This window comes from Homo sapiens, chromosome 9 (genome assembly GCF_000001405.40).
Source record: "Homo sapiens chromosome 9, GRCh38.p14 Primary Assembly".
NCBI classification, from domain to species: Eukaryota; Metazoa; Chordata; class Mammalia; order Primates; family Hominidae; genus Homo; species Homo sapiens.
Window position 1 is genome coordinate 37,106,636 of NC_000009.12, and position 20,555 is coordinate 37,127,190.

At 42.0% G+C, this 20,555-nt stretch overlaps 1 protein-coding gene and 1 long non-coding RNA gene across 19 annotated transcripts in view, besides 1 other annotated feature; one reads left to right on the forward strand and one right to left on the reverse strand.

The window, feature by feature from the left end:
* Nucleotides 1–5,350: 5,350 nt before the first annotated feature.
* LOC105376034 (uncharacterized) lies at nucleotides 5,351–13,765 on the reverse strand. Its single transcript, NR_188580.1, has 3 exons — nucleotides 13,161–13,765; nucleotides 5,935–6,620; nucleotides 5,351–5,559 (listed from the first exon to the last, which is right to left on the reverse strand). It is a non-coding gene; the product is annotated as an uncharacterized LOC105376034 (long non-coding RNA).
* The window catches only part of ZCCHC7 (zinc finger CCHC-type containing 7), a 237,983-nt gene continuing 230,959 nt past the window's right edge, over nucleotides 13,532–20,555 (forward strand). For 3 of the 18 annotated variants that reach the window (NM_001289121.2, XM_047423958.1, XM_017015200.2), the window contains exons 1-2: nucleotides 13,939–14,259; nucleotides 19,677–20,307. In NM_001289121.2, the coding sequence (NP_001276050.1) occupies nucleotides 19,698–20,307 (610 nt within the window). In that variant the 5' untranslated portion in view covers nucleotides 13,939–14,259; nucleotides 19,677–19,697. Of the gene's footprint in view, nucleotides 13,653–13,836; nucleotides 15,038–19,676; nucleotides 20,308–20,555 lie in introns of those variants that run through there. The other 15 variants (NM_001289120.2, XM_017015197.2, XM_047423960.1 and 12 more) reach the window with 9 other exon arrangements.
* Nucleotides 13,601–13,680: an enhancer, noted in NCBI's record as "active region_28378". NCBI's record gives its function as "activates an Ori minimal core promoter by ATAC-STARR-seq in GM12878 lymphoblastoid cells {active_cell/tissue: GM12878}" and the evidence as "EXISTENCE:reporter gene assay evidence [ECO:0000049][PMID:35858748]".

Genomic DNA, 20,555 nt, shown 5'->3' on the forward strand with positions numbered 1-20,555 from the left:
TCTCCCGGGTTCAAGTGATTCTTCTGCCTCAGCCTCCCAAGTAGCCAGGACTACAGTCACATGCCACCAGACTCAGCTAATTTTTGTATTTTTAATAGAGACGGGGTTTTGCCATGTTGGCCGGGCTGGTCTCGAACTCCTGACCTCAGGTGATCCATGTGTCTCTGCCTCCCAAAGTGCTGAGATTACAGGCATAAGCCACCATGCCCAGCCTGATGGGTTCTCAATTCAATATGACTGATGGCCTCATGGGAGGAAGAATAAGACACACAGGAAGAAGATGTAGCCATGTGATGACAGAGGCAGAGGTTGGAGTGATGCATCTACAAACCAAGGATTGCCAAGAACCTACAGAAGCCAGGAAGAGGCAGGGAGGGTTCTTCCTTAAAGCCATCAGAGAGCATGGACCTGCCAACATCTTGATCTCGGACTTCTAGCCTCCAAAACTGTGAGAAAAGAAATTCTTGCTGTTTTAAGTCACCCCACTTTTTGGTAATTTGTTGTGGGCAGCCCTAGGAAATGAATACAGTACACAAATGTTGCCAGCATGTGAGTTTCCTTGGGCCAAAAGAGGTGGGTTCCATCAGGCCTTGGGGTAGAGGCAGTTATGAAACAAAAGTTGGGCTGGGCTCGAATATTTGGTAGCAATAAGCCCCAAAGTTCAAGCAGCCAGCATGTCCCAATCAGATTCTAATCTGGGATACTAACAATGGATGATGAGCAGAATCAGAAGCAAAGGTGGAGGAAATATTTGTCTTCCCATTTGAAGAAGTTGCAGTTCCAAATCTTTGATTCAGCAATTCTGATTGGGATACAGAATTTTACAGTTTATGCAAGTTGCATCTCTAAGGTACACGTAGCTGACATGAAAAGCAGCAAGTTCTCTTCCTTGTTCTCACCAAACTCCTCCTACCGCATACCCAGTCACAGACTTATATATGTTCAAAAGCCAGAAAAGACTGTAAGGTGGTTGTTAAAACCTCACTCACTTTGGAGTGTTGCTGGACCACTGCAGGCTGACTTCAGTCCAGAGAGATGTGCCCATTTACTCACTGTTAAGTCTTTGAATTAGAGTCTCTGCAGGAAACAGGTGTACATTCTGAATGAAGAATTGAGTAGTTTCATGAAGGGACAGTTTACAGAGGGGTGGGCAGAACTCAGGGAAGACAACAAGGTATGGCACCCTAGGGCTAGCCATTGCAGGGAGCATTCACCTTTTAGTTACACCTAAAAGGGCCAGGAAGGAAGGGAGTGGCTGTATGAAGAAGGTCACCTGACAGGAGCTGTGGTCTTTTGTAGAGGAACGCAATCAACTCATGGAGACGCAGCAGAGAGGGAGCCAGCACACCAACGGTGTGACTTCATTCCCCTCCTGTCCTCCTAAATTTAGCTCATGCTGCCTATTGTCCAACCCCAACCAAAGACCAAAAGATAAGGAAGCTTTTCAAACTTAATGGTGATAGACTGAAAGCTTTCCCCCTAAGATCAGAAACAATATAAGGATGCCTGCTTTCATCACTGCTACTCAACATGGTACTGGGAGTCCTAGCCAGAGCATCTTGGAAAGAAAAAGTAAAACACTGTCATCATTTGGAATCACAAGTCATCCAAATTGGAAAGGAAGAAATAAATATTTACAGTTGCAGAACACAGGACTCTACATATAGAAAATCCCAAGGAATACACAAAAAATCTATTAGATCTAGTAAATTGATTTAGCAAATTTCTAGGGTACAAGATCAACACACAAAAACCAGTTGTGTTTCTGTACATCACCAAGGAACAATCCTAAAAAAAAATTCCATTCATAATAGCATCCAGAAGAATCAAATACAATTCTTAGGAATTTTATTCTGATTGGGATATAGAATTTTATGGTTTATGCAAGTTTTGCATCTCTCAGGAATGCATTTGATCAGACCATTCATCAAGAAAGGTGAAGGACATGTACACTGAAAAGTATAAAACTGCTGAATAAAATTTAAAAAGACCTAACTTAACATGAAATTCCATGGTTATGTATCAGAAAACTTAATATTGTTAAGATGGCAGTACTCCCAAAATGACTTACAGATTCAACGCAATCCCTATAAAAATTTTAATGGCCATTTTTGTGTAAATTTAACCAAGGAGGTGAAGGACTTGCACACTGAAAAGTATAAAACTGCTGAATAAAATTTAAAAAGACCTAATTTAATATAATGAAATTCCATGGTTATGTATCAGAAAACTTAATATTGTTAAGATGGCAGTACTCCCAAAATGATCTACAGATTCAATGCAATCCCTATAACAATTTTAATGGCCATTTTTGTGTAAATGGAAAGGTTGATCCTCAAATTCACACAGAATTGCATGAGGCCCTAAACAGCCAAAACAATATTGAAAAAGAGAAATAAAGTACTACAAAGCTACAATAATCAAAACAGTGTGGTGCTGGCATAAGGATAGACATATATATCAACAGAATAGAGTTGAGAGTCCAGAAATAAACCCAAACACCTATGGCGAATTGATTTATCAACAAGGGTGCCAAGAACATTCAATAGGGAAAAAAAAGTGTCTTCAGAAGATGGTGCTGGAACTGGGAAACTACATGCAAAAGAATGAAGTTGGACCCCTACCTCACTCCATATACAAAGATTAACTGAAATGGATCAATTACCTAAATATAAGAGCCAAAAGTATAAAACTATTAGAAGAAAGCAGGGGTAAATCTTTATGAGCTTGGATTTGGCAATGGATTCTTAGAACTAACACTAAAGCACAAGCAACAAAAGAATACATCAATTAGATTTCACAAAAATTAAAACCTTTCCAAATCAAAGGATATTATCAATAAAGTGAAAAGGTAACCTACAGAATGGGAGAAAATACTTATAAATCATATCTCATAAGGGTTTAGTATTCAGAATATATAAAAAATGCTCAGCCAGGTGCAGTGGCTTGCTTCTGTAATCCCAGCACTTTGGGAGGCTGAGGCAGGCTCATCCCTTGAGCCCAGGAGTTGGAGATCAGCCTGGGCAACATGGCAAAACTCTGTCTTTACAAAAAATACAAAAATTAGCTGAATGTGTTGGTTCACAACTGAAGTCTCAGCTACTCAGGAGGCTGAGGTAGGAGGATTGATGGAGCCCCAGAGGCAGAGGTTGCGGGGAGCCGAGATCACACTACTGCACTCCAGCTTAGGTGACAGAGCGAGACCCTGTCTCAAAAAAAAAAAAAAAAAAAAATTTGTGACTCCACAACAAAAATACAAACAATTCAATTTAAAAATTGATAGTGGATTTGAATAGATAGTTCTCCAGAGAAAATGTACAAATAGCCTACATTCACATTAAAATGTTCAACTTTATTGGTCATTAAAGAAATTTAAGTCAAAATCACAATGAAATGCCATTTCACACCCACTAGGATTACTATAACTTAAAAAATTGAAAATAACAAGTGTTGGTAAGTATGTGAAGAAATAGGAATCCTGGTACATTACAGTTTGGAATGTAAAATCATGTAGCCACTGTGGAAAACAGCTTGGTGGTTCCTCAAAAAGTAAAACATTGGATTACCATAATGACCCAATAATTCTAGGTATATGAATAGAAACGAAAACATTTGTTCACATAGAAACTTGTCTGTGAATGTTTGTAGTAGCGTTACTCATAACAACCCAAAGGTGGAAACAATCCAAATGCCTGTCAGTAGATGTATGGATAAACAAATTGTGGTATATACATATAATGGAATATTATTCAGCCATTAAAAAGAATGAAATGGCTGACTGAGGTAGGTCATGCCTGTAATCCCACCAGTTTGGGAGGCTGAGTTAGGCAGATTGCTTGAGCCCAAGAGTTTGAGACTAGCTTGGGAAGCATGGCAAAACCCTATCTCTACAAAAAGTACAAAAATTAGCTGGACATGGTGGCATGTCTATAATTCCAGGTACCTGGGAGGCTAAGGTGGGAGGATTGATTGAATCTGGGAGTTCGAGGCTGCAGTGAGCCATGATTTGATCACTACACTCCAGCCTCAGCAACAGATACTGTTTCAAAAAAAAAAAAAAAACAAAGAATGAAGTACTGATATGTGCCACAATGGATGAACCTCAAAAATTTTTGTGTTATGTGAAAGTAGCCAGACATAGAAGGTTACATATGTATGATTTCTTTTCTTTTTTTTTTTTTTGGAGACAGAGTCTCACTCTGTCACCCAGGCTGGAGTACAGTGGCGTGATCTTGGCTCACTGCAACCTCTGCCTCCCAGATTCAAGCGATTCTCATTATTCCTATCATTATTCTCATTATTCCTTCTTATTATTCCTATCATACATGATAATAAATAGGAATAAAACCTCTCTTATTATTCCCCCACAGCTGAGCATAGGCACAGAAAAGAGAAAGTTCCAGGGGGTAAGTTCTGAGAGCAACAGCATAGCACAATGAGAAAAAAGCCATTCTCTGGAGGGAGACATCAAACATTCTGAAGAAACTGTATGGCAGTTCCAGGATTTTAACAGATCTGTCCATAGCAAGTAAGAACAGGGATTGCTAGAGCCATGCAGATAGAGTTTTTGAAGACTGTACAGGAAACAGGAAGTTTGAGGTATTGGGGATAGGGAGACAGAACCTTCTGCAATTAATAGGTCTGATAAAAGAAATACAACACCCATATGCAGACTCGTCAGTCAACCACAGAAGAATATCAGATCCCGAAGGGAGGCAGAGGAAGAGGATATCACAGAGACAGTCCTTTTAAAGCCCCATATTGCTAATGGTTTCACCAGTTGAGTAAGAAACAATGGATAATAATGGTTGAAACACAAAGCATCACGTCTATAGTTTATCATATATAATTGTGCTTAAGTTGACTGTAGTAAACTGTGGCTCACATGACAGAATGATCTTAGTTATTTTCAATTAGTTTCTTTTGTGGTTAATCTAAAGTCCCAAGTAAAATAATTCATGGTAGCATTGCCGCAAAGACATGTGGAAACTGAAAACTGTAGACATAATTCCCGGGTCCGGGACGGGCAGCTGAAGAGAGCAGCCCCTCTATAGATGACACCTAAATAAGCCCTGTTTGAGCATGCGTGATCCTTCATGTCTCATAATCTGTGGATCCAGGGCTCATGGACATTTAAAAGAAAGGCATGCCTTTTTAGACAGCTTCTCCACATGTTACTGATGACATGCTTCAAGATTTCTTGTGCAGAATCTGATGATTCTTAAATTAGAATCCCAATAGTTTTGCCAGTCAGTATTCATTATATAGTCACTTAGAGCTAAGCCTTGAGGAATAAAATTCCAGCTAGGAATAATAATAAAAAACGGGAATGGTGCCCTTGCAATACTAGTTCCTTATCCCTAGGATTTTATTATAATGAGAATAGTAAGTATATAGTTTAATTTATAATACATATTTTTAAATTTCATTATTTCATAAGGAAAGGCAGTCTCCAAGAAAAATTAAAAGCCATCTCTATGAATGTCCACATTTTCAAGAACGATTTCATAGCCTGGTTGAAAATTGTGTGCTCTCTCCATCATCTTGCAATTTGAAGAACTGCAAAATCATGAATAATACAAAAGGATGTTAAACTTTTCAACAAATCCAGATGGGTACCAATGTCATTGAGAATTCCTGAGAATCACCTTGATTGCTGCTTCAGACCTAGGAGCCTGAATTGAATATCACTTACCAGTTGGAAGCTATTGGCTTCAGTGACGACAGTTTCTACAATAACATTGGTATCTATATCGTTTACTTTTAAAATTGTATAGACACTAAGTTTGTAATTTTGGCAAATAAAAAACGTCCAAACTTTAACATTCAGTCATTTCCCTTGCTAGCCTTCTATTTCTTCTCCCTTATTATTTAGACTTTGGTGCAACAGAAAGAATGATGGACTGGGAACTAGAGGCCAGTTTTAACACTAACCTTTGCTGGGACCTTGCAAATCTCTTCTTCATTTTGCATCTTAGTTGTCCCTTCTGCAAAATGAGAGAGTTGGACTAGATGTCCCTTTCAGCCATGATTCTCGGGTTTCCATTGTTCCACACAGTCACTGGATGAAGAGACACTGCCAATGCAAAGACTGAGCCGCCATGAGAACTCATGTTATGTCTTGCAACTCTTGAGGCTGGGTATAATGTAGGCCTAAAGTCTTTACTTCTAATCTTAGGTAGCAGGGAAATGTGTCCATTTGTGGGTTATGCTGCTCGTTATCCCTCTAATCCCCGTCTCCCCACACCATGCTAGTCCTGGATATTCAGAGTCAGGGCTTGTTTGTCAACACAGAAGACTCGCACACTTGTGATGCTTTTGCTTATCCTGTTCCTTTACCAGAAGATCCTTCTGCTTCTCTACCTAGTAAACTCTCACTCATTCTTTTAATTTTGCCTTTTAATTTTATATTTTGACATAATTTCAGACTGGGAGAAAAGTTGCAAAATCCGTACAAAGAATCCTCATATACCTTTTACGCAGACCCCCCAAATGATAACTTTTTACCACACTCCTCTGTCTCTCTCTCCCTCTAGCTCCCAGAATTTTTTTTCTGAGCCACTTAAGCATCAGTTTCAGACATGATGCCCCTTTACTCCAGGTAGTTCAGTGTGCTCGACCTGAAAAATAAAACCAAGACGTTCTCCTACATAATGTAAATATAAAAATCGAGGAAATAACGTTAATGCAGTGCTGTCCTCTAACCTAGATCTGGATGTTGCCAATTGTTCCTTTAATGTGGTACAGCTCCTCGGTCTTTCTTTGCATTTCCTGCCACTGACAGTTTTGGAGAGATAAGTCCAGTATTTTGTAGAATGTCCCTCAATATGTGTTTGATAGTTTTCTCATGTTTATATTCAAGTTATGTACTTTTGATGGGAATACCACAGAAGTTACATGCTGTTTTTCTCAATGAATAATGTCTCACATTTTTTTGTTTAGATGAAAGTCCTTCAATCTCTTACTCCCACTCCCCTCCTAAGATGTAAATAACCACTGTTAACAATTGGCATCCATGCAGTATTTTGTCTATGTATCTATGTACACACATATCTACATACAGACACACAGGTACCCTTTAAAAACATAAAAATGGGCTGGGTTCGGTGGCTCCTGCCTGTAATCCCAGCACTTTGGGTGGCTGGGGTGGGTGGATCACTTGAGGCCAGGAGTTCAAGACCAGCCTGGCCAACATGGTGAAACCCTGTCTTTACTAAAAATACAAAAATTAACTGGGCGTGGTTGCAGGTGCCTGTAGTACCTGCTACTTGGGAAGCTGAGGCAGGAGAATCACTTGAGCCGGGGAGGTGGAGGTTGCAGTGAGCTGAGATCATGCCATTTCACTCCAGCCTGGGCAACAGAGTGAGACTCTGTCACAAAAAATAAAAAAATAAAAAAAAGATTTCACAATACACCTACTGCTCTGCAATGTACCTTTTTTCACTGAACTGTATGTCTTTGTGAATCTTTCTATATCTTTTTGTTGAAGCTGCGTCTACAGGCGTGTGCCACCGTGCACGGCTAATTTCTGTATTTTTAGTAGACGGGGGTTTTGCCATGTTGGCCAGGCTGGTCTCCACCTACTGGGCTCAAGTGATCCTCCCACCTCAGCCTCCCGAGTAGCTGGGACTACTGATGCATATCACCATTCCCAGCTAATTTTTGTATTTTTGTTGAGACAGGGTTTCGCCATGTTACCCAGGCTGGTCTGGAACTTCTGGGCTCAAGAAGTCTGCCTTCCTTAGCCTACCAAAGTGCTAGGATTACAGGTGTGAGCCACTGTGCCAGGCCAAAAGTGGCATTTTTTTTAATAGTATAAGTATGTCCTTGTTTAGATCGTTCCCTACTAATGAATATTTGTTTCCATTTTTTTCTATCACAATGTTTGTACATACATTTAAGAACATACCTCATAATAGCGATAGATGCTATTAAATAGCTCTCCTAACACACTTTTCCAGTTTGTATTCTCATCTACTGTGCATGAGATAATTTGCATTTTTCTGACTGTTAGTGATGCAGAGCACCTATTCACGGCCTTTGGGTTTCTTGTTCTGTGAATTGCCTGTTAGTGGTCTTTGCTGTGAGAATGCTGAATTGTCCGTCTTTGTCTGACTACTTATTTCTCCAGGCCTCACTCAATTCTGTTCCTCTGCAGAGGCTTCCCCATGTCCCCTAATCAGCCACCACCCCCTCCTCTGCTGTCCCATAACACTGTTCACACCATGCCCAGGCCTTCATTTACCAACCATTCCATACAAAATCTACTCATTCCAAAAGTGTCCACTGTGAGCCTTCTCTGTGCTTGGCCTTGGGCTAGGTGCTGGGTGGAGAGACATGAGCCAGTCATCATAGACTCCATGCTAAAGTTCAATTTTGAAATGCAGCTTTGAGCATAGAAAAGAGCATGAGTTTTAGATCTAGACATAACTTGAGTTGAATTCCAGCTTCACCACTTCCCAGCTGTGTAATTCAGAGCAAGTCACTTGATTACTCCAAGTCTCCATTTCCATACTAGTGAGGTGAGGCTAATCCCTCCCTAAGAGAGTCACTTGAAGCTGGGCAAGAGACAATAATATCTGAAATGGCTAAAAAGGGCCTGTTACACAGTAGGCTTGCAGTGGATGAATGGTAGTTGAAAGGCAACTGTTAAGAGGTCAAAATCAGTTAGTTCTCAGAGGTTCTAAGAGCCACCAATAAACTGGAAAATAAAAAGGAAGGAAGTAGCTCCTCTCTTTGCAATGCAAAGGATATGGATGAGTGCCACTTGCCCAGATCCTGCTGCAGAATATCCTTTATCTTTCCTGCTCTCTGCAGCAGATTTCTGCTTTGTCTTGGCCCCTCATCCCAATTCAGCTGTGCACTGTTGATGTCCTACTGCCACTTTCGTGGGAAGAACAGGTGCTTCCCTTCTCAAATAAATGTTGGTCTAGGCAGGGCGTGGTGGCTCACGCCCGTAATGCCAGCACTTTGGGAGGCAGAGGCGGGTGGATCACGAGGTCAGGAGATCGAGACCATCCTGGCTAACACAGTGAAACCCTGTCTCTACTAAAAATACAAAAAAATAAGCTGGGCGTTGTGGCGGGTGCCTGTAGTCCTAGCTACTCAGGAGGCTGAGGCAGGAGAATGGCGTGAACCCGGGAGGCGGAGGAGTTTGCAGTGAGCCGAGATCGCGCCACTGCTCTCCAGCCTGGGTGATAGAGTGAGACTCCATCTCAAATAAATAAATAAATAAATAAATAAATAAATAAATAAAATAAACGTTGGTCTCTTTAGAAGATACTCTGTAAGAAAGACTTCAGGATATTTGTGCATGCTGTCACCCATGATTTCAAGAAGTAGGGGCTGAGCACTGTGGTTCACACTGAGGCGGGAGGACTGCTTGAGACAGTTCAAGACCAGCCTGGTCAACATGGCGAGATCCCATCTCTACAAAATGTATATAGTTTTAAATTAGCCAGGTGCAGTGTGGTGATGCACGCCTGTAGTCCCAGCTTCTTGGGAGGCTCAGGTGGGAGGATCTCTTGAGCCCAGGAGGTTGAGGCTCCAGTGAGCTGTGTTTACACCACTGCACTCCAGCCTGAGTGACAGAGTGAGACCCTGCGTCAAAAAAAAAATAAAATAAAATAAAAAGGAGAAATGGGGAGTAGAGACAGCTTCAATTAGAAAGAGAAATGCTGTGTATGTGGAGAGAGGCTAAGGTGGAAAGTTTCCCTGAAGACCCAAAACTTCAGCAGAGTAGGGTGAGTGGGTATATGTTAGAAGGACAGGGAGAAGGGCTTTACAGGCAGTGGAGTGTTCTCTGCAAAGGCACAGGTGTGGGAGGGCATGGTGTGTTCTGGCAACTGCCCAGGATTCAGCGTCAACAGTAGGCAGATGTCAGCTCATGAAGTGCCTTTTATGCCATCCAAAGGACTCTAGGTTTGAAGACATAAACTAAAGGGGTAGGCTGAAGCATTCTGAGCATGGGAAAGCAGTAAATCTTTGTTGAATGCATGTGTGACAGTGGGAAGATGGGACATGGTAATTAGGAGTACAGTCGTGTCATTTAATGATGGGGATAAGTTTTGAGAAGTGCATTGTTAGGTGATTTTTTCATTGTGCAAACTTCATCGAGCATATTTACACAAACCTAGATGGTATAGTCAAGTAAACACCTAGGCCACATGATGTAGCCTATTGCTCCCAGATTACAAACTGCTACATGTTACTGTACTGAATACTGTAGGTGACTATAACACAATAAGTATTTGTGCATCTAAACATGGAAGAGGTACAGTAAAAATATGATAAAATAATCATCATATATGCAGTCTGGTTTTGAGTGGAATGTCATTATGAAGCACATAACTATTATTTCCTATACTTGTGGCCTTCTATAAGTTTTACTTAGCCTTTCTACGCCTCTTTTCTTTTTTTGTGTGTGTGAAATTGGAACTTAAAACATCAACTTGAAAGTATTGGTGGGGCTGAGTGTCTCATGCCTGTAATCCTAGGACTTTGGGAGGCTGAGGTGGGGGGATCACTTGAGGCCTGGAGCCCAGAAGCTGGAGACCAGCCTGGGCAATACGGGGAGACCCTATCTCTACAAAAAAGTTTTAAAAATTAAAAAAATAATTAACTCAGCATGGTGGTGTGTGCCTTTAGTCCCAGCTACTTGGGAGGTTAATGCGGGAGCATCATTTGGGAGATAGGTTTCAGTGAGCTGTGATTACACCACTGCACTCCAGCCTGGGTGACAGAGCAAGACCCTTTCTCAAAAAAAAAAAAAAAATCCACAAAGTGTTGTCGAAATTTAAAATATTATAATAGATGGACAGGAGTAATCCTGGCAATATATTTTTAAATTTTTAAAAAGGTGACATTTGTTTTACACAATACATATTACCAAAACAAACAATCTAGTCATCTGTGATGTGCTTCTATGCCTGTTTTCTTTTCTGGAAAGTGGTTCTCCAATTTTACCTTTTCATAGTACCTTGTCCTTCTCCTTCCCAGCACTTACCCCATAATGTTAATTAAATGTTCTAATTCTTTTCTGGCCAAACTCCTAGACTATAACTGTTTTCCTAGCTAGATGCCTATCTCTATGAGATCAGTGACTTAAAAATTTACAGCTTTTCTGCACTTTCTAACACCGTCTTTTAACAGATAGATGTTCAATAAACGTTGGTGAAAACAATCAAACTCACACTTGTCTTGAGGAGAATTGAAATAGGCCAATGAATTGGCAGTGTGTCATTATGAGAGGAGAAAAATAGTTCAGAGCAGTCTAAGTTACGTTAAAGGTATGCAAAAATAATTTTTTTAAAAATTAAAGATATGGGGTCTCTCATCCAGGCTGGAGTGCAGTGGTGTGATCACAGCTCACTATGACCTTGAACTCTCAGGCTCAAGCAATCTTCTCACCTTGGCCTCCTTAGTAGCTAGGAATACAGTTGTGTGCCACCACGCCTGGCTAATTTTTACTATTTAAAATTTCTTATTTATTTTTATTTTTATAAAAAGATTTGTTTTTTTAAATTTATTTTTATATAATTTTTTAATTAAGAAAAGGATCTTATTTTAAATATAGATGGGGTCTTCTTATGTTGCCCAGGCTGGTCTCCAACTCCTGAGCTCAAGCGATCCACCTGCCTCAACCTCCCAAAGTGCTGGGATTACAGCCATGAGGCACCTTGCTTGAGCTTTAAACATTTTTGTTCAGACGGTCTCATTCTGGAGTGCAATGGTGCGATCTCGGCTCACTGCAGCCTAGACCTCCGCAGTTCAAACCTCAGCCAGGAACAGCTGGGACTCCAGGTGTGGGCCACCACGCCCTGTTATTATTATTATTTTTTTGACACGGAGTTTCTCTCTTGCTGCCCAGGGTGGAGTGCAATGGCGCAATCTCGGCTCACTGCAACCTCCGCCTGCCGGGTTAAAGCGATTCTCCTGCCTTAACCTCAGGAGTGGCTAGGATTACAGGCATGCGCCATCACGCCCGGCTAATTTTGTATTTTTACTAGAGACGGGGTTTCGCCATGTTGGTCAGGCTGGTCTCCAACTCCTGACCTCAGGTGATCCGCCCGCCTCGGCCTCCCAAAGTGCTGGGATTACAGGCGTGAGCCACTGCGCCCAGTCGCCCAGTTAATTTTTAAATTTTTAAATTTTTTTGTAGAGACAGCGTCTTGCTATATTACCCCGGCTGGTTTCGAATTCTCGGCCTTAAGCTATCCTCCCACTTCGGGCTCCCAAACAGGTGAGAGCTACCCCATTAGCCAGGCAGGCATTCAAACTTTATCAGGCCCAGAGGGACTTGAGTATGGTACTTCAGTTAGCACCATCCCATGTAGGTGGTGGTGGGGGTGGGGGTGGGGGGTAGGGGTGTGTGGCAATTGTTTAAAGGCATTTTGTTCTTTTCTTCCCAGTACCTGCATCACCCTTTATCTTCGTGTTCCTAAAATTTGTGATAGAAAGAACAATGTGTAGCCAATGGATAGCTTATGTTATTTTAGTGTCAATTCTTGGTATGTAGTTTAGCAAAAGCCTCTTCTTTTTTCCTTTAAAAATTCACTCGTGGCCGGGCGCGGTGGCTCACGCCTCTAATCCCAGCACTTTGGCAGGTCGAGGCCAGGAGTTCGAGACCAGCCTGGCCAACATGGTGAAACCCCGACTCTACTAAAAATACAAAAATTAGCTGGGCGTGGTGGCAGGCGCCTGTAATCCCAGCTACTTCGGAGGCTGAGGCAGGAGGATGGCTTGAATCTGGGAGGCGGAGGTTGCAGTGAGCCGAGACCGCGCCATTGCACTCCAGCCTGGGCAACAACTGCGAAACTCCGTCTCAGGAAAAAAAAAAAAAAAAAAAAAAAAAAAACCATAAAGAAAGAAAAAAATTCACTCGTAGCTGCTACAAGAAGTGTAATGGCTCATGCCTGTGATCCCAGTGCTTTGGGAGACAGAGGTGGGAGGATCGATACCTTTAAGCCTGGAGCTTCACAAGACAAAGAACTCAGTTGAAACTGCTGCTTATCGGATCACATATTAAGGGCAACTTGAATTGATGATCCCAGGTTGCCCTCATCAAACTTGGCCCAAATAAATTCTCCACTTATATTAACTTTGCCTCAGTTTTTCCTTTAGGTCGACAGTTATTTCTAAAGTTCTACAGATGGGTTTACCTTGTATTAAAATAAGGTGTGAGAAGGGCAAATGAAGCCAGAGGCTCCCAGCACAATCTTGCAACCTTCAGAGACTTCCAAAGGATCAGCATTAACTCCAATATTTAGCAGGAGTGCAGCTCTTCGAGATTCACAAAGTGTTAATCTGTTGCCTAGAATTCCAGAGAGTTGGAGGCGCCCAGTGTGAACTGTGTTCCGCCTAAAAGAAAAAGCGACCAGCCTAAGATCATGAGCGCAAGGGAGAAGCTTGAAGCCATGCGCTCTCAAGTACGCGTTTCCCGCTGCCCAGGTCTGCGGGCCAAGCAGCCAGCCACGCTGGCCCTCGTCATGCACGCGATCAGCTAGGCTCCCGCGCCACGTGGCACTGAGAAGGCGTCCACCGAGCGCCAGGGAGAAGGAGGCGGAGCCCGGCCTCAACCTCGCCCGTGTCCTCATGGGGGTTGTAGTTTTCCTCGCGGGGGTAGAGGGCACGAACTCCCCGGCTTTTGCCCGGTAAATAGCATCTCCTTCGTACGAGTCATTCAAATAATAGATGCAGCCTAGGTAGCTTCAAGAGAAGTTGGGAAGGGGAAGGGGGAAAGCAAGGAAGGCAAACCTAATAATTATGGGCGGGGCAGAGAACGGTTCGCACCCACTACGCATGCGCACATCAGGCGCGGCAGGTGGGCGGGGACGGAAAGGCGGTGACTAGAGCTGTGTTGTCCCCGGAAGTGCCTTCCCTCCCGGGTCTGCGCGGACGCGGCCTCCTTACCTCATTTGTCCTCGCCCCTCCCCGTCCCTCTACGCGTTTTGGTTCCCGGTTGGTGCTTCCTGTTCGCAGCTGCGGCAGTGAGTATGTGTGTGACGGACCCCCGCCGCCCGCGGCTCGGGACCCCTGCCTACCCTCCTTCTTGCCCGCCGGGCTGTGGAACTAGCGCGTGCCCCCTCGCCGGCCTCGACGTCTCCCGTCCGCCCCTCACTCGTGGCAGGGCGCAGCTCCTGGTCCGTCACCTGCGCGCCGCCCCACGCGGCCGGGCTGCGGGTCTAGGGGGTCCGCGTCTCCCTGGCTTTCCAAGGGCTAATGCCGTGATTCTAGAGCGGCTGGGCGTCTAGGGCCTCGGTGAGGGTGGCGTGTCTGCCCTTTTTATTTCCCCGCAAGGCCCCCAGTCTTCTAGGGAAGCCAGTCAGTGAAGCGCGGAGGTCCCGGCGCGCCGAGAGAGAGTCCAGTCTTTGAGGACCGAGTAGTCCTGGGCCACCTCCCGCCTCTGCTGTCAGAAGCAGCAGCTGCAGCAGTAGAATCCAAAATTTCGGGAGCTGTGACCCTTTCCTCATGTAAAACGAGTAGACTTGGACTGTGTTTACTAAGGCGCCCTTTATCCCTCCCATCCTGTGAGCGGACAGTTGCCTTCAACTTTTGGGAAGAGCTGCTGGTTCGGTGGAAAAGCTGTGGCTGGGAATCAGGAGGCCTGGGTTCTAGCCGTGGCTCCCCCACGGATTCGCTGGCGATTCCAGAAAGCTCTTATTGAAGCTGAATTTAAGATTATTTCAGATTGCACAGTTGAATTACGGGCTGCATTAGTAGGGCCTTTTTAGCTCAGTGAATAAGTTTCTCTGAGCTCCTTTCTCCAACTATAAAACGAGAGCGTTCAATTTGATGACTTTTCAGGTCCCCTCAGAAGCTCTTGACTTTGTGGTTTTCTTTTTCTTTTTAAAATTTTTTCTAGGACCGTTAGAGAAATGACTTCGTGTTTGAATAGTTAGGCTGTCGCATACAAAGACTTTTAAATGGATTGTGTGTATACTTAGGAAAGCGTTATGCTTTCAGGAGAATCTGAGCATGGGGAATAAAGTCAGGAAGGATCGCAAGTGAGGATTATATTAATATGATAATTAGCACGGTAAGAGACTGCATGACCGAAGGAAAAGGGCTAAGGGAAAGGTGAAGGAAATGTTTCCGGATAGGATTAGTTCTCGTAAAAATCATATATATATCCCAAGAAGAGCTGGGACTTAAGTGACTAAATTTAGCTTATTTTTTTTCCCCCACTGAAATACTGTGCTCTGTTTGTCTTTTGTGACTTTTGTTTTACACATTTGGATTCTCCATCCCAATCAGATTTGATTCAGAGTGGCCATCGCATTTGAAAAATGGACAGACATTTTAACCCTTTAGACAATTGTGTTTCAACTGTCCTGTCAGGGCAGCTTACTAAGAGTAAGAAAAATTTTACTTTGAAAGTAAAGTGTATTCATCACATTCCAATGAAAATTGGACTGAAAATGAGGCTGTGGATTTGATTTAAATCGGCCGGAGATGGATGCGTGTGTCATCAAGAAGGAACATCTAGGGAGGCTAAAGATATTTGGAAGTAAATAAGAGCAAAAGGTCAGAATGACCAGTAGGTAGACTGTGAGAGCAGAAGGATTGATTAAAGACTGTGTTAAGTAAATGCTGAAAGCTTAAATAAGCCTTAAGTTGTCTAGTTTAAAACAATTCAGTCAATGAATACTGCTCCCTCTTTTGAATGGTAATAGCCTTTGCAGTTATTCTATAGCTGTTTTATATTTGTTAAGGTATTTTAATTCTTAGATAAGTTTCATTTGCATGATATTTTAAGATGTTATATAGGAAACATCTTTTCTGGTCATGGGATTGATAGTTTTTGAGTACCAACTTGGGAGATTCTTAAATGGCAAACTGACAAACGTGTGTTTTCCTTACACCTAAAATGTCTCATTTAGTTTTTAAACTCTGCTGGGACATAAAATGGATATTTGTGAGGTAAATTTAGGTGTTAGAACCAATGCAAATATTGCAATGAAGGAAGGTTTTTCTTCAAAAAATCTTAATTTGAAGTTAACTTATTTGAAAATTTTATTTTGGGCCATGTGCGGTGGCTCACGCCTGTAATCCAGGCACTTTGGGAGTCCGAGTGGGGCGGATCACGAGGTCAGGAGTTCGAGACCAGCCTGGCCAACATGGTGAAACCCGTCTCTGCTAAGAATACAAAAATTACCCAGGCGTGGTGGCGCGTGCCTGTAATCCCAGCTACTTGGGAGGCGGAGGCAGGAGAATTTCTTGAACCCAGGAGGAGGAGGTTGCAGTGAGCCGAGATTGCGCCACTGCACTCTCACCTGGGGGACAGAACGAGACTCCGTCTCAAGGGGGAAAAAAAGAAATTTGTTTAAAAATTTTAGTAAACAGTTGGCTGAGAATCACAGAAATGTGAATCACTTCTAGCCGTGTTCTTAACCAGCTGCATAACCTTGAATAGGCTTCCTATCTCTTTGTATTTCAGTTTCCTGATGGGAAGATTGAGGAGTCTGTATGAGATAATCTGATTTTGTTACCTAGTTAGTATACTTGGGAATCATGTACAGGGATAAAAAAGCTGAGAAAGCCTTCTGAGTCAAGGGTGTGTGTGTGTGTGTGTGTGTGTGTGTGTGTGTGCGTGTGCGTGTGTGTGTAAAAAACATATATTGTCTTCCAAGACACTTTTTAAAAGGGTAAATTAAATTCATTTGAACGTAATTAAAGCAGTAACATTAACGAAAACAACCTTAGGCAGACCTTAACCCTGGCATACATAAACTACCTAAATAAGAGAGCACGTTATGCCCAGCACAATTTTCAAGTACAGACGGTACAAAATCCTCTTAAAGGCCATAGGGGCTAAATTGTTAAATTCATTTTTCTACATTTCAGGGAAAGAGATAAATCCTTTGACCCAAGGAAGTCAGTTTTTATTATGGTTCTGTAGTTTATTTTTGGCATACATTCACAGGTGTGCCTATGGCTCTATTCTTAATCCCTTTCCTTTGGGATGGCTGCAAGAGTAGTACAAACTTGTAACTTTGTAATTTGGCTTTTTAATTTTTTCTGTGCTGCACTGGAATTATGTTTTGTCTTAAGTCCACACTGGATCCTCAGGATGGATCCAGTGAGGATTTTGAAAGAAGCATAATTCCTTTGACTTCTTTTAGAATTAATTTACCTATTAAATAAAAAGGAAAGGATTCATCTTTTATTCGAATTCCTCTGAGGCTAACAATTCAATATAAACTGATGAATGCTGTGAGCATTATTCAGACAATCACATTCAATTTGTGTGACAGTAACAGCATAGCCACCTGAAGGACAGTGCAACAAGGGCACAGGTATATGATACCCTTTAGAAGAAAAGCATTACAGGTGGGTTTATTTGTTTCTGGAAAACAAACAACTCCAGTAGGAATGTAGTACATTTTTGGCTCTTGTCCATTTGGTTTTTGGGATTAAGGTGGTTCTATTACCAGAACTACCACCACAACACCCTGGTATTTTTGGGCAGAAATTTGGGACACTAAGAAAACAACTATTTTTTATTTTATGTGTATAGCTGTTAGTGGAAGAAAGAATAAATAGGCATCATTATTGCTCTTTAGGCTGTCCCTGATTTTGGACACACACTTATTTTTTCAGGGCTCTCATTTTAATCAGTAGTCCATCAGTACCTAATGGAAACATCTACTGTGTAGAGTTTTGGTTGCTGATGCTAGAATTTAAGACTTTGGAGTAGTCGAAAGACAACAGAGAAATTCATCTCATAATTTTTGTATTTTAAGCACATACTAGATTTATCAGGGCTGAAGAACAAATGCCCGATGGTGTAGTTCATTTATTCATTTATGAATTCAGCAAACGTTTGTAGCTGACCCCGAAAATACCAGTTACCCTGTTTGGCTTTGGTGATTCATTGTTTAGCAGAGTGCATATAGTTCCTGCCCTCCTGGGATTTGTGATCTGCGTTTCTTGGAAATTTATATTGAATAAGTAATTATAAATGTGATGAGTGTTTTGACATGTAAAGTACTTATGGAAGCCCATAAAAGGGGCTCTTAATTTAGCCTGGTTGCAAGTGATTTTGAGCTGAGTTTAAAAGATGAAGGCTGAGGAGGATTTAATATGCTCACAGTAGAAAGTAAAGTGTTTCACTTTACACATTTATTCCCAAAGCTGGGAGTTTTGTCTCAATATTGGGTCATTATTAAGTTTGTATTTATACATTATAAATATACATTGTAAAAATATACATTTTTGTAACTAGTACAGAGTTTTTAGACAGTCTGCTCTGTTGCCCAGGGTGAAGTGCAGTGGCATGATCTCGACTCACTGCAGCCTGTGCCTCCCAGGTTCAAGCTATTCTTGTGCCTCCACCTCCTGAGTAGCTGGGATTATAGGCGCACACCACCACACCCAGCTGATTTCTTTATTTTTAGCAGATATGTAGTTTCACCATCTTGGCTAGGCTGGTCTCGAACTCCTGACTCAAGTGATCCACCCGCCTTGGCCTCCCAAAGTCCTGGGATTACAGGCGTGAGCCACTGCACTGGCCCACCCTTGTTTTATTTTTGAGTTGGGTTCTTGCTTTGTCACCCAGGCTGGAGTACAATGGTATGAGCATAGCTCACTGTAACTTTGAACTCCTGAGCTCAAGCGGTTCTCCCACCTCAACCTCCTGAGTAGTAGCTGGGACTACAGGTTTGCACTGCCATGCCTGGCTAAGTTTTTAGTTTTAATTTTTATGGAGATGGGGTCTTACTGTGTTGCCCAGGCTGTTCTCAAACTTCTAACCTCAACGTGATCCTCCTGCCTTGGCCTCCCAAAGTGTTGGGATTACAGGCATGAGCCACTGCCAGCTCAGGCATTTTTATTTATTCTTTTGGCCAATGATCAGAGGGCCGTGCGATTAATTTGTTAATTGAGAATATACATTTACACCCAAACAGTAAACAAAATTGTTTCCTGTTATAGATTTTAGTCATAATTGAAGTAATATTCCTGTATATGCTTGAAAATATGAGCTATAGAACCAGAACCAAGGAAAAGATGAAGAATGGATAGGATAGTGAGAGCTGCTTTAAGTTTTGTTTTAACATTTTGGAAAGCAAGGGTTTTGTATCCTGCGGTAGATCTCAATTTGTTTTTCGTTTACAATATACCTGTGAAATCTTACATATCATGTGCTGCATAATAGCATTTTGGTTAAAGACAGACAGTGTGACTGTGGTCCCATAGGATTTGTATACGTTTTTGCTATATCTTTTGTATGTTTAGATACCCAAATACCATTGTGTTACAGTTACTTACAGTATTTGGCACCGTTACATGCTGTATTGGTTTGTATCCTAGGAGCAATAGACCATACCATGTAGCCTAGTTGTGTAGTTGACTACACCATCTAGTTTGTGAAAATCATCCTATGAAGTTTGCACGATGAAATCACAGAACAAAGCATTTCTTAGAGTGTTGACTGTGTTTCCATCAATAACTATAACTCAATTTGTCAGTAGTAATTCTCGTTGGGGAGTGGTGGGACTTACAGGAGTGGGTCCTAACAGGACTTAGAAATCCTTGGAAAAAAAGGTATTTTAATATGTCTGAGAATAGTGATGGCCTTCATATTAGCAGTTGTCACTGACAGGTGATATTGTTACTTAAACTGGCATGATCTGAACTTTTAAAGTATATTCTGTGTACAACTTTCTCTTTTGCAGCTTCAAGGTTACTGACTTTTTATGATGTTTGGTGGCTATGAGACTATAGAAGCATACGAAGATGATCTTTATCGAGATGAGTCATCTAGTGAACTGAGTGTTGATAGTGAGGTGGAATTTCAACTCTATAGCCAAATTCATTATGCCCAAGATCTTGATGATGTCATCAGGGAGGAAGAGCATGAAGAAAAGAACTCTGGGAATTCGGAATCTTCGAGTAGTAAACCAAATCAGAAGAAGCTAATCGTCCTTTCAGATAGTGAGGTCATCCAGCTGTCAGATGGGTCAGAGGTCATCACTTTGTCTGATGAAGACAGTATTTATAGATGTAAAGGAAAGAATGTTAGAGTTCAAGCACAAGAAAATGCCCATGGTCTTTCTTCTTCTCTTCAATCTAATGAGCTGGTTGATAAGAAATGCAAGAGTGATATTGAGAAGCCTAAATCTGAAGAGAGATCAGGTGTAATCCGAGAGGTCATGATTATAGAGGTCAGTTCAAGTGAAGAGGAAGAGAGCACCATTTCAGAAGGTGATAATGTGGAAAGCTGGATGCTACTGGGATGTGAAGTAGATGATAAAGATGATGATATCCTTCTCAACCTTGTGGGATGTGAAAACTCTGTTACTGAAGGTTAGTATCATATTGGCCATTTTGAAAGTAGTATCATCTTTCATAAGGAGGACTGCTTTTCCTAGAGAAAAGACCAATAGGGTCTACTCCGTTTAATTCCTCACTTTTTGGTCTTGTTTTTTGGTTTGTTTCTCATGCGACTCTCTTACCAGTGGCTACTCTAATGGTGGTTTGTCTGAACGTCAGAAAGAGTATGTCAGAATACCAAAGACACTCTGCTTCTGCTGTAAGCAGATTCATAGCTGCTT